This window comes from Homo sapiens, chromosome 16 (assembly GCF_000001405.40).
Source record: "Homo sapiens chromosome 16, GRCh38.p14 Primary Assembly".
In the NCBI taxonomy this organism is placed as follows: Eukaryota; Metazoa; Chordata; class Mammalia; order Primates; family Hominidae; genus Homo; species Homo sapiens.
In genome coordinates this window covers 4,977,231-4,990,717 of record NC_000016.10, presented here as the reverse complement: position 1 = coordinate 4,990,717, position 13,487 = coordinate 4,977,231, and the positions used below count along the sequence as shown (strand labels likewise).

General features: G+C 47.8%; 1 protein-coding gene across 3 annotated transcripts in view; it reads right to left on the bottom strand.

Annotated features, from left to right (window-relative positions):
* Positions 1-13,487, bottom strand: part of SEC14L5 (SEC14 like lipid binding 5) — a 60,828-nt gene that overhangs the window by 28,440 nt on the left and 18,901 nt on the right. For all 3 annotated transcript variants that reach the window (XM_024450497.2, XM_024450498.2, NM_014692.2), the window contains exons 3-4: positions 3,012-3,161; positions 2,438-2,569 (exon numbers count right to left, since the gene is read on the bottom strand). In XM_024450497.2, coding sequence (XP_024306265.1) covers positions 2,438-2,569; positions 3,012-3,161 — 282 coding nt within the window. The remainder of the gene's footprint in view (positions 1-2,437; positions 2,570-3,011; positions 3,162-13,487) is intronic.

The following is a 13,487-nucleotide window of genomic DNA, read 5'->3' as shown; positions in this document are numbered from 1 at the left end:
TGCCCTCCCCTAGGGCTCTCCCACTGACCTGGGCCCAGGCAGAGCCTGCAGTGGAAAGCAGATCAAGCCTGGCAACCCTGGATGGGGTAGCAGGACCAAGGGGCCCCCACCCAGAGAACGATGCAAAGTTCAAACTGTCAGGGAACAAAAAGCCTTCTCATGAGAAGCCGGGAGAATGTGGGTCTCAAATCTGCAGCCCTGCCCTTTCAATATTATACACATACATAGAAAATTAGTTAGAAATACTTATGTTTAGGTCGGGCATGGCGGCTCACGCCTGTAATCCGAGCACTTTGGGAGCCCAAGGTGGGCGAATCATTTGAGGTCAGGACTTGGAGACGAGCCTGGCCAACATGGTGAAACTCCATCTCTACTAAAAATCCAAAAATTAGCCAGAGATGGTGGTGGGTGCCTGTAATCCCAGCTACTCGGGAGGCTGAGGCAGGAGAATCGCTTGAACCTGGGAGGCGGAGGTTGCAGTGAGCCAAGATCATGCCACTGCACTCCAGCCTGGGTAATAGAGCAAGACTCCATCTCCAAAAAAAAAATAATAAAATAAATACAATTGTTCAGTGTATCATTTATATAATCTATAAATAAATTATATATCAATATTACACATAAAATTTAGATATAGATTTTTTAAATAGTTGTATATTATATGTTATCTATATAAAGATATATTACATATCCTTATATATCAATAAACATTTATAGATCTGTATGTTTGCAAAAAGAAAACTTCATTGGCAGAGCTCCTTTATGGATCCAGACCTAGTCCTCCTCAAACGTCTGTGGGCAGAAACATTACCAAGGAGTCTGTTAAAATATGCAGATTCCTGGGCCTGCCCCTAGACACTTCCAGGTTGGGGCCCAGGAATCTGCATTTCGCAAGCAGCCCCAGGTGCTGCTGACTCAGCTATTGATAGAACTCATTCTGAGAAACACCACACACACTAAGAGGGGTTTCAACAACTGTTGCTTGCCCCTCCCCAGAAGATCTGAACACCCTGAGCCCAAGCTCCTGGAGGACCCAAGAGGAGTTGGAGGCGTAGAAAGAAAAGGCAATGGAGCCGGGTACGGTGGCTCATGTCTGTAATCCCAGCACTTTGGAAGGCCAAGGTGGGTGGATCACTTGAAGCCAGGAGTTTGAGAATAGCCTGGCCAACATGGAGAAACCCTATCTCTACTAAAAATACAAAAATCAGCCGGATGTGGTGGCACATGCCTGTAATCCCACCTACACGGGAATCTGAGGCGTGAGAATCTGAGGCAAGAGAATCCTTTTAACAAGGAGGCGGAGGTTGCAGTGAGCCAAGATTATGCCAGTGCACTCCAGCCTGGGCCACAGAGCGAGACTGTCTCTCAAAAAAACAAACAAAAAAAAAAACAAAACAAACAAACAAACAAAAAAAAAAACACGTACAATGGTCTACCATTGCTATCCTGGAGTTATCATCGTGAAAACGATCCAGCAAGGCAGGATCTGCCAATGTCCCGATTTTACAGATACAGACAGTGTGGCCCAACGTCACTCAGCAAGAAAGTGGCAGAGCTGGGTCCCATCAGTGAATGCCTGCAGGTGCCTCATTCCAGCCTCTAAAGTCATCAAGATCTAGGCCCCATGGCCTCACCTTGGCAGACCTCACTCATGCTGTTCCCACCCCCAAAATGCTGTTCCCAGTCCTCCATGAGCAGCTCCTCTCATCCTTCAGCACTCAGCTTCAGTGCCCCTACCACCTTCTCTGACTCCCACACATCTCCCTGCTGGATCCAGCCTTAGCTGTGACAAATGCACACACACTGATTCCGTTTTGTTCCACTGGAATGGACCCTCCGTGAGGGCAGTGGTCAGGCAGCCTGGTCCACTGCTGGGTGCTCATCACTTGGCAGGGTGCCTGGCACATAGTAGGTGCTCAATCAGTATATACTAGAGAATAATTATGATTATTATTAATTATAGTCAAAGGTAACATTTACGTAGAACTTAATATGTGCCAGGCACTGGTCTAAAGGCGCCACATACTACCTGTGTAGTAGGCATGATTATTAAGCCCATTTCACACGTGAGGAAACTGAGGCATAATTTAATGAAAGAAGGAAGGAAAGGAGGGAGGGGAAAGAGGAGGGAGAGGATAGGGTTGTCAGATTTAACAGATAAAACACAGGATGTCCAGTCACGTTTGAATTTCAAATAAACAACAAATAACATTTGAGTATAAGTATATCCCAAGCAATATTTGAGACATACTAAAAAAATTATGGGTTGTTCATCGGAATGCAAAGGCAACCAAGCATCCTGCATCTTTCTTGACAATGCCCCAGGAGGGAGGGCTTGGCAGAGGCTCAAGGAATGTGGGGACACAGCTCTGGGCACAGGTGGGTGCCGGGCGCAGGTGGGTGCCGGGCGTGGGCGCTGAGGGTGGCCTGGGCTCACCGTGTAGCTGCAGTGCTCGTTCACCACCACGCGGTTGGCGAAGGTCTCATTGTGCGCTTCGATGAGGAGCGTCCTCTCCTTCCAGTTCAAGATGTTTGTCTGCACGAAGACCACGTGCTCAACACCTGCGATCTGCAAGGGAAGGGGCGGGGAGGCGGAGGTGGGTGGGCGGCGTGGAGCACACAGGAATGGAGAGCGAGTCCGGCGGGCCTGCCCCAGTCACCCCCTGCCCTGAGTCCCAGGTCCCTTGCGCCACCGCCCACCCAGCCCGGACCCAGGACACCAACCCCCGACTTCCGCCCTGCCGCCAACCCATCTTCACCACCCAGCTCCGGCCCTGGCCCCGCGAACCCCGCCCAGTTCCCGCTACTCCCCAGCCCAGCCTTCCAGCCCTCGCCCCTCCTGGGCCCTGGTCCCGCCACCCTCATCCTGGAACCTCCATCCAAATATCAACTCACACGCCCCTGCTCCACCTCCTGGACCCCGCCGCCCTGGTCCCCAGCTCCCGCGCCCAGCCCTCCCGCACCTCCGCAACAGGTCCCCTCCTCCGCCCCCCAGCCCCAGGGCCGCCCACCTTCCGCAGCAGCCGCGGGGCGTCCACGCGCAGCCGGCAGCTCCGCTCCACCACGTGCACAGCCCCGTCCGGGCTGCGGGACTCGCGCAAGACCTCGCTGCCCAGGAAGACTGGGATCTGTGGGCACGTGGGGAAACGCTTCTCGTAGGCCTGGGGGCAGAGCGGCAGTGAGCGGCCGTGGTGGGGGGGGCAGAGGGACCCCCCCCCCCAGCGCGACCTCCTTATCTGCTGTGTCACTTATCAGACGGGAAAGGCAGCCCTGGCCACTGGAAGGGGCAGGGATTTTGCCGTCATTACCAACAATCGTTCCACCAGCTAGCACCTGTTAGAGCCCAACACAGCAGAGCCTGGACAATGATTTGGCACATAAGTTTTGCCTCTGCATTTGAGTTTTTGCCCTCAGAAGGAAGCACAGGGACTCTGGGGACATTTTAAAATAAGGTATTTCTCAGGAAAAGCATTTGAGAAAAATCCAACACCCCTTCATGATAAAAAAAAAAAAAAAGATTCAATAAACTAGGAATAGAAGGGCACTTCCTCCGCCTGGTAAAGCCATCTGCTAAAAGCCACAGTTAACATCCCTGGTGAATGAGTGCTTTCCCCTAAAATCAGGAACAAGGTAGCAATGTGCATTCTTCGTGTCTATTCGAGCTTGTGCTAGAGGTTCTAGATAAGTAAAAGAAATAAAAGCCATCCAGTTGGAAAGGAAGAAGTAAAACTATCTGTATTTGCAGATGACATGAACATTTATATAGAAAATCCTAAAGCATCCACACACGTACACACAAAAAGATTAGAACTAATCAATGAGTTCAGCAAGGTTGCAGGATATAAAACCAATATAGAAAAATCAGTTGTATTTCTATGTACTAACAATGAGCAAACTGAAAATAAAATGAAAAAATTCTATTTACAACATCAAAAAGAATAAAATACTTAGGAATATATTCAACAAAAAGAAGTGTAAAATGTATACTCTGAACACTACAAAACATTTGCTGAAAAAAATTAAAGCCCTAAATAAATGGAAAGGCATCCCATATTCATGGAACAGAAGACTTAACATTGTTAAGATGGCAATATTCCCCAACTAGTCTACAGATTCAACACAATATCCACATCCCAGTTGACTTCTTTACAGAAATTGACAAGCTTATCCCAAAATTCATATGGAAATACAACAGACCCAAGATAACCAAAAGCAATCGAAAAAGAGCAAAATTGGAGAACTCATATTTCCTGATTTACTTTAAAAGACGTGGTAGCAGGCCAGGTGTGGTGGCTCACGCATACAATCCCAGCACTTTGGGAGGCCAAGGCAGGTGGATCACCTGAGATCAGGAGTTCAAGACCAGCCTGGCCAACATGGTGAAACCCCATCTCTACTAAAAATACAAAAAGCAGCCGGGCGTGGTGGCAGGTGCCTGTAATCCCAGCTACTTGGGAAGCTGAGGCAGAAGAATCACTTGAAACCAAGAAGCAGAGGTTTCAGTGAGCTGAAATCACACCATTGCACTCCAGTCTGGGCGACAAGAGCGAAACTCTGTCTCAAAAAAAAAAAAAAGAAGAAGAAGAAGACATAACAGCACGTGTTGGTGAGGATGTGGAGAAATTGAAACCCCCAAACCCTGTCATATGAACGTAATACGGTACAACCCCTTTGGAAAATGGCTTGGCAGTTCTTCAAACAGTTAAACATAGAATTACCTTATGATCCAGCAATTCCACTCCTAGGTATATACCCAAGATAAATGAAAACATAAGTCCACACAAAAAAATTATACACAAATATTTATACCAACATCAGGCTATTCAACAATAAAAGAAAAAATAATACAATTTATATAGACTGTGCACATATCTATCTACTCACAATGTAAATATAGGGTGTTTCTATATAATATAATTTTATAAATATAGATAGTATGTATATAAATATATATTGTATCTATAAATATATAGATATATCAGGCTACAGTAATCAAAACAGTGTGATACTGGCATAAGGGGAGACATACAGCTCAGTGGAAAAGAATTTAGCATCCAGAAATAAGCCCTTACGTTTATCACCAACTGATTTTTTACAAAGGTGTCAAGACAATCTGATGAGAAAAGAATAATCTCTTCAGCAAATGGTGCCGGGACAATTGGATATACACATGCAACAGAATGAAGTTGGAGCCGGGCGCGGTGGCTCACGCTTCTAATCCCAGAACCTTGGGGGGCTGAGGCGGGTGGATCACCGAAGGTCAGGAGCTAGAGACCAGCCTGGTCAACATGGTGAAACCCTGTCTCTCCTAAAAATAGAAAAAAATTAGCTGGGCATAGTAGCATGCACCTGTAATCCCAGCTACTCAGGAGGCTGAGGCAGGAGAATCACTTGAACCCAGGAGGCGGAGGTTGCAGTGAGGCGACATTGTGCCATTGCACTCCAGCCTGGGCGACAAGAGCAAAACTCCATCTCAAAAAAATAAACAAATAAAATAATAATAATAATTTTTTAAAAGCATTTTTTAAAAACTACAAAACTCTTAGAAGAAAACATATGAATAAATCTTTATGAACTTGGATTAAGCAATGGTTTTTTACTTATGGCATCAAAAGCACAAACAATAAAAGAAAAAATAAACTGGATATCATCAAATTTTAAAACTTTTGTGTTTCAAAGGATACAAGCAAGAAAGTGAAAAGGTAACCCAGAGAATGGGAGAAAATTTTTGCAAATTATACATACATACATATGTGTACATGTGTGTGTAGAAAATGGGGGATTTGCATCTAGAATGTATAAACGAGTGTTAGAATTCAACAATAAAGAGATGACCCAATTTTAAAATGGCAGAAGATCTCAACAGACATTTCCCCAAGGAAAATATACCAACACAAAAAAGCAAATGAAACTATGTTCAACATCATTAGTCACTAGGGAAATGCAAATCCAAACCACAATGAAATACCACTTCACATCCACTAGGATGACTATAATAACTTTTAAAAGACATAATAATAGCTAGTGCTGGTGAGGATGTGGAGAAATTGAAGCCCCCAAACCCTCCCACGTGTATGTAATATGATACAACCCCTTTGGAAAACAGTGTGGCAGTTCTTCAAACAATTAAACAAAGAGTTACCATATGATCCAGCAATTCCACTCATAGGTATGTACCCAAGAGAAATGAAAACATAAGTCCACACAAAAAAATACACAAATATTTATAGCAACATTATTCGTAATAGGCAAAGTGGAAATAACCCAAATGTCCATCAACGGATGAGGGAATAAATCAGTGGTGGTCTAGCCATAAAATGGAATATTATACAGCCTTAAAAAGGAACAAGGTACTGATTCATGCTACAACATGGATGAACTGTGAAAATATTATGCTGAGTGCAAGTAGCCAATCACAAAATACCATATATTGCATGAATCCTTTTATATGAAATGTTCAGAACGGGCAAATAGAGAGAGACAGAAAGTAGATTAGTGGTTGCCAGGGACCAGGAGTGGTGAGGAAAGAGATGGTGGGGGTGTTGAGGGATGAGGGTTAAGGCAGACAGAGCTTCTTTTCGAGGTAATGAGACTATTCTAAAGCTGATTGCGGTGAAGCTTGCACAATATTATGAATCTACTGAAAGCCACTGAATTATGTGCTGTAAATGAATGAGTTGTATGATATGTGAATTGTATCTCAATAAAACTGTTTCTTTAAAAAAGTGTCTTTCTCTCTCCAAGTGTATGTGTTTATATGTACACATACACACATATGAATCCACATGTATACATATACTATTTATTTATTTATTTATTTATTTATTTATTTATTTATTTGAGACAGAGTTTTGTTCTTGTCACCCAGGGTGGAGTACAATGGCGCGATCTCGGCTCACTGCAACCTCCACCTCCCAGGTTCAAGCGATTCTCCTGCCTTAGCCTCCCAAGTAGCTGGGATTACAGGCACACGCCACTACACCCTGCTAATTTTTGTATTTCTAGTAGAGACGGGGTTTCACCATGTTGGTCAGGTTGGTCTTGAACTCCTGACTTCGGGTGATCCGTCCACCTCGGCCTCCCAAAGTGCTGGGATTACAAGCGTGAGCCACCGCGCCTGGCCACATGTATACATATATTATTTAAGTGTATATATAAATATATATGAATATATGTTAATATAAATATACACAATTTATATAGTGTGCATATATCTTTCTATACACAATGTAAATATAAGGTGTTCTGTATAATATAATTTTATAAACATAGATAGAATATAAATAAATATAGATCATATCTATACATATCTATAAATATATAATGTATATATAAATGTACCCATGTAAATATATTATTTCATATATGGATACATAATATATTCCATATATAAATATATGGGCATGCTGTGAGCAGTGGCTCATGCCTGTAATCCCAACACTTTGGGAAGCCAAGGCAGGCAGATCATTTAAGGTCAGGAGTTTGAGACCAGCCTGGCTAACATGATGAAACCCTGTCTCTACTAAAAAATAACAACAACAACAAAAATTAGCTGGGCATGGTGGCACATGTTTGTAATCACAGCTAGTCAGGAGGCTGAGGCAGGAGAATCGCTTGAACCCAGGAAGCAGAGGTTACAGTAAGCGGAGATCGTGCCACTGAACTCCAGCCTGGGCAACAGAGCCAGGCTCCATCTCAAAATAAAAATAAATATATAAATAAATATATGAGTAGTTTAAGGAGTTTATTTTATATATGAATATATCTATTACATAATTTTTTTTGTATATGTTCATGTAAATATTCAGTAATGTGCTTCCTGTGAGCCATTAGAGGGTCTCACCCTGGCTGACAGCACAGACTCGAGCCCTGCCTGGGTACAAATCCCAGCTCTACCACTTACAAGCTGTGTGACCTTGGGTGGGTTACTTAACCTCTCAGTGCCCTGTTGCACACAGTCGTCCTGAGAACTGAGCAAACTGCTGTGGGTGCTGGAGAAGGGATGGCCAGGATTATTTCCTCCACAGTCTCTCCGTGTGTCTCACACAGGATTTGGCCACGAGCACAGGAGGTTAAGCTGGATTCCATGCCACTGTGCCCTTCACAGGGAAGGGCCCCTCACTGTCCTCGGAGCCAATTCAGGTCAGCCCCAGGCTCTGTGCTGGGGCTGCTTGCTTCTGTGCGGGCGGAGGTCCTCCCAGGCGGGGGTGTAGAGCTGGGTGAAGGTAGCTTGAGGGGCCCCCAAGCCCATGAACCTACGCTCAGGGAGGGCAAGGGTCCGTGCCCAGTTCTAGAAGGGCCAGGGTCAGGGTGGTGGGGGCGTATCCCAGCATCTGTGGCTGACCTTATTCCTTATTCCAGCGGGGTCTGCTCCTAGCGCCTGTCACAGCCCACGTGCCCCGGAATTGGGATCAAGGCAGGCTCCAAAAATAGTGCCGGCATCTGAGGACAGACACCTCCTCCCCCTTCCCTCCTGGCTCCCAGGAAGAGAGGCGGGGGGAGGGGGGGGCCGAGGAAGAAATGGATACATGCCCAGGAGCCCTTGGTGTCACCCCAGGCTGGGCAAGGCCAGCCTGCCTGTCCTCCACCAGGGCCAGGAGGACAGAGCTGCCTCCTGCCATATCTCCATGTCAGTTGCTGCGACAAACACATCAGCGTTGGAATAGGGAGGCCTCGTTCCCCCAGAGAATGCACCATGGGGATCCTGGGGTCTGGACTCAGCGAGCTGGCAAGGAGACCCCCTGAGAACTGTGTCTGCCCTGTAGATCTCAGCCACGCTGGACCCACTTTCAAAGGAAATCATCTCCCCACGGAGGACAGAGAGCAGAGTAAAGCCAGTGGAGGCTGGAGGGGTTCAGACTGCCTGGTTAGAAGTCCAGCTCCACCTCCTTCCAGCGAGGCAAGCCCCTTCCTTTCTCTGGGCCTGTTTCATCATTTGGAAAGTGCGTATATGTCTCATGTACTTGCCCAGAGAGGCTCACTAATTTACCCCAAGTCACACAGCACGGGATGGTGAACCTGGATTTGAATCCCAGTTGGGCCCAGTCCCCACTCCCTCCAAGAACCGTTTGCTCAGCAGCTGGGCTTGTTGTCATGGGCAGCTCAGAAACAGAGCCAGGCACTGTCCCCCCGGGCCAAGCGGTCACATCTTCTCCTCCCTTTTCCACCCTCTGTCCTTCAGAATCCTGCCAGGCAGCGGCCACACCACCCCTGACCTTCTCCCCTTCCTTCTACTGCTCAGTCTCCCTCCTGTTTCCCAAACGAAATGATTTCGGGGGAGGATATACACAGAACAGGCCTTGACGAGACCAGGCGCGGTGGCTCACACCTGTAATCCCAGCACTTTGGGAGGCCGAGGTGGATGGATCATTTGAGGTCAGGAGTTCAAGACCAGCCTGGCCAATATGGTGAAACCCCATCTCTTCTAAAAATACAAAAAAAAAAAAAAAAAAAAAAAAAAAACCAATTAGCTAGACGTGCTGGTGCATGCCTGTAATCCCAGCTACTAGGGAGGCAGAGATTGCAGTGAGTGGAGATCGCACCACTGCACTCCAGCGTGGGCGACAGAGCAAGACTCCATCTCAAATAAATAAATAAAGAAAGAAAGAACGGGCCTTGATGCCGAGAATAAACCTGCACTCTTTATGGTGGTCCTCGGGCCCTGTGTGATCTGCCCTGCCCACCCACCTCCCATCCCAGCCCCCTCATCTGGCTCCAGCCACGCCAGCTTTGCTGCGTTTAGAACAATACATCGACGTGTCCCTGCCATGGGGACTTTGCACTTGCTGTTCCAGATGCTTGGAACGCTGATCAATTTCTTGACAGTGAAGGGGATGGGAGGCATGAGACATGGGGCTTTCTGGAGGGGTAGGAGGCCTGGATTTGGGCCAAGGAGACGCTCAGGCTTCAGGGCCTCATCCATGCTGGTCCTTCTTCCCGGGACACCCTCCCTTCCCCCTCCTAGGCACGACTGCCTCTTCCTCAGTTCTCCTTCCTTTTACCATTTTATTTCTTTGAAAGCGTTTATCGTGCCTTGTAACAGGAGACTTGTGAAGGAGGATCGCCTGCTTTTCCAAAGCACAACCTCATACCTGTGCCGGGCTTGGTCCTCGGCACACCCTTGGCGCTAACAATGCTAACCAGCAAAGAAGAACATAACACGCACTTGGCCCAAAGAGCCTCAAGGAGGGTGTCAGGGAGGGGATAAAGCCACAGACTCAGCACACGCAGCCAGTCAAAGGCCAGAGTTCCTGACTCACTTCCCATCCTAACAAACCTCTTGTTAGAAAGGCCCGGTCTGGAGCCCCCAGATAACAGGCACGGAGGGGAGGCTGGTCTGCTGGGGCATGACTTTCTCTGACTTCGAAAGGAAAGGAAGGTACTTCTCCCAGTATCCAGTGACAGAGCCACATGTTTCGGGGGGACATTCGAGCTGAGGCTCCGTCTGGAAGGCGTCCATCCCAGAGCCAGTTGTCCAGCATCAGAGGACTTTCACGATTGTTGGACACTGTTGTTAAGGACTTTATAAAGTGTTAACTGCCTCGCTTCATCCTTACAATGCCCTGGTGAGATGGGAACTAGCATTTCCCCATTTTACAGATGAGCAAGTTGAGGCTCAGGAAGACAGAGTGACTCGCCCAGCAGCACATGGCCGGGGAGTGGTGGGATTGGCGCATGAGCCTGTCTGACCCAGACGACAACCCTGAATCACTGTGTCCTGCCTCAGAATCTCTGGCTACGTCACAAGCATCGGTGGCTTGGAAATGCTGAGTCCCACTGGCCTGTAACTCGCAAAGCAGGGGACCTGGAGAAGTGAGGATCGGGGTGGGCTGAGGATGGGGCCGGTGGGGCATGAGAAGGAGGTTCACCTCCCTGGATGGCAGAGAAGGGGATGCAGGGAAGGGGATGGAGGGACCTCGGCAGAAACCAACCTCAGGTTCTGTCTGCTGCTTTCAAACCTCATCCTCCTGCTGCAGGGAAAATGACAGGAGCAAGAAAAGCAGCTCCTCCCAGCGCAAGGGCTCTCCAGGGACAATCAATGCCTCATCTCCAGGCCCCGGGAGAACTGCCTTGCCTTCTCCTGGGGTGAATGTTTATAGCGGGTGGCTGGTCAGGCAGAAAACTTTCCTTTAATTTCAGATGACCAAAAGGTGCCGATGAGTACCAAAAGGACACATTTGGACAATTTTCAGCTGCCCAAGCCTAACCATCATTGCAGTAATGGCAATAGCCGAGGCATACACTGGGCTCACTGCATACCGTGTGCTGCTCCTGATGAAGTAGGTAGCGCTCACCCTCCGCATTTGACAGATGGAGAAGCCAAAACTCAGAGAGTTTAAGTCACTTGCCCATAGTCGCACAGCTTGTGAGGGATCAAGCTGCAATTTGACCCCCTTGCAGTCAGACCATGGGGTTGGTGCACTGTGTTGCTTCTAGAACCAAACAGTGCCTTGATCTCTGAAGGACAGCCCAACACTCAAGACACTCCCACACAGGACGGAAGCCTGGTTCATACCCTCAGCTCATACTCAACCCATTTCTGACCCTCCCTGTGCCCTTGTTCCTCAGACAGTCCCCATGCATTTGAAAATGTGTCTGTCTCCCCAGCTTGACCATGGGCACCTCTGAGGGTCCAGCCTCTTTGCCTGAAGATCCCCTTCCTGCATCTGACTTGGAGAAGATATTAAATACACTGGCTGAGGTCGGGTGAAGTGGCTCACACCTGTAATCCTGGCAGGAGGATTGTTTGAGCCCAGGACTTCGAGACCAGCCTGGGCAAAATAGTGAGACCTCATCTCTACATAAAATAAGAAAATTAACCAGGTGCAGTGGCTCACGCCTGTAATCCCAGCACTTTGGGAGGCCAAGGCGGGCAGATCACGAGGTCAAGCGATCGAGACCATCCTGGCTAACGCGGTGAAACCCGTCTCTACTAAAAATACAAAAGATTAGCCGAGCGTGGTGGCAGGCGCCTGTAGTTCCAGCTACTCGGGAGGCTGAGGCAGGAAAATGGCCTGAACCCAGGAGGCGGAGCTTGCAGTGAGCCCAGATTGCACCACTGCACTCCAGCCTGGGTGACAGAGCGAGACTCCATCTCAAAAATAAATACATAAATATTTTTAAAAAAGAAAATTACCCAAGTGTGGTGGCACGTACCTGTAATACCAGCTACTCAGGTGGCTGAGGCAGGAGAATCGCTTGAGCATAGAAGGTCAAGGCTGCAATGAGCTATGATTATGCCACTGCACTCCAGCCTGGGTGGCAGAGCAAGATCTTGTTTCTTTTTTTTCCTTTTTTTTTTGAGACGGAGTCTGACTCTGTCGCCCAGGCTGGAGTTCAGTCGCGGGATCTCGGCTCACTGCAAGCTCCGCCTCCCGGGTTCACGCCATTCTCCTGCCTCAGCCTCCCAAGTTAGCTGGGATTACAGGGGCCCGCCGTTACGCCCGGCAAATTTTTTTTGTATTTTTAATAGAGACGGGGTTTCACCGTTTTAGCCGGGATGGTTTTGATCTCGGGGCCTCGTGATCCGCCCGTCTCGCCCTCCCAAAGTGCTGGGATTACAGGCGTGAGCCACCGCGCCCGGCCAAGATCTTGTTTCTTTAAAAAATAAAATAAAGGCTGTGCACAGTGGCTCACACCTATCCTCCCAGCACTTTGGGAGGCCGAGGCAGGTGGATCACTTGAGGCCAGGAGTTCAAGACAAGCCTGGACAACATAGTGAAACCCTGTCTCTACTAAAAATGCAAAAAATTAGCCAGGCGTGGTGGTGCGCACCTGTAATCCCAGCTACTCGGGAGGCTGAGGCATGAGAATTGCTTGAACCTGAGAGGAGGAGGTGGCAGTGAGCCGAGATCATGCCACTGTACTCCAGCCTGAGCGACAGAGACTCCATCTCAAAAATAATAATAATAAATAAATAAATAAAATAAAAACACTGGCTGAATAAAATTCAAACGCCTGCCAAGTGGAGAGGGACCTTACCTAGAAGGGACCAGGGAGCCCCGGAAGGTTATAGAGCACCTCTCTTCGCAGGATGGTTGTGAGGCCTTCACAGGTCCTGGGCTCTACCCATGTCAATCACATCACACACATTAAAATGCATCCACTTTCCGTGATTTACATATACATGAGCTCATCACAGTTGAGGTCCAGATGACAGCCTGGCATGAAGTTGCCCTTGGTAGGCATTTAATTCAGCATGTGTTCATTTTAACTCTGCAGGTTTCTTTTTCTTTTCTTTTTTTTTCCTTTTTTTTTTTTTTTTTTTTTTTGAGACGGAGTCTCACTCTTTCGCCTAGGCTGGAGTGCAATGGCACGATCTCAGCTCACTGCCGCCTCCGCCTCCTGGGTTCAAACGATTCTCCTGCCTCGGCCTCCCAAGTACCTGGGATTACAGGCACCCACCACCACACCCAACTAATTTTTGTACTTTTAGTAGAGATGGGGTTTCACCATGTTGGCCAGGCTGGTCTCGAACTCCTGACCTC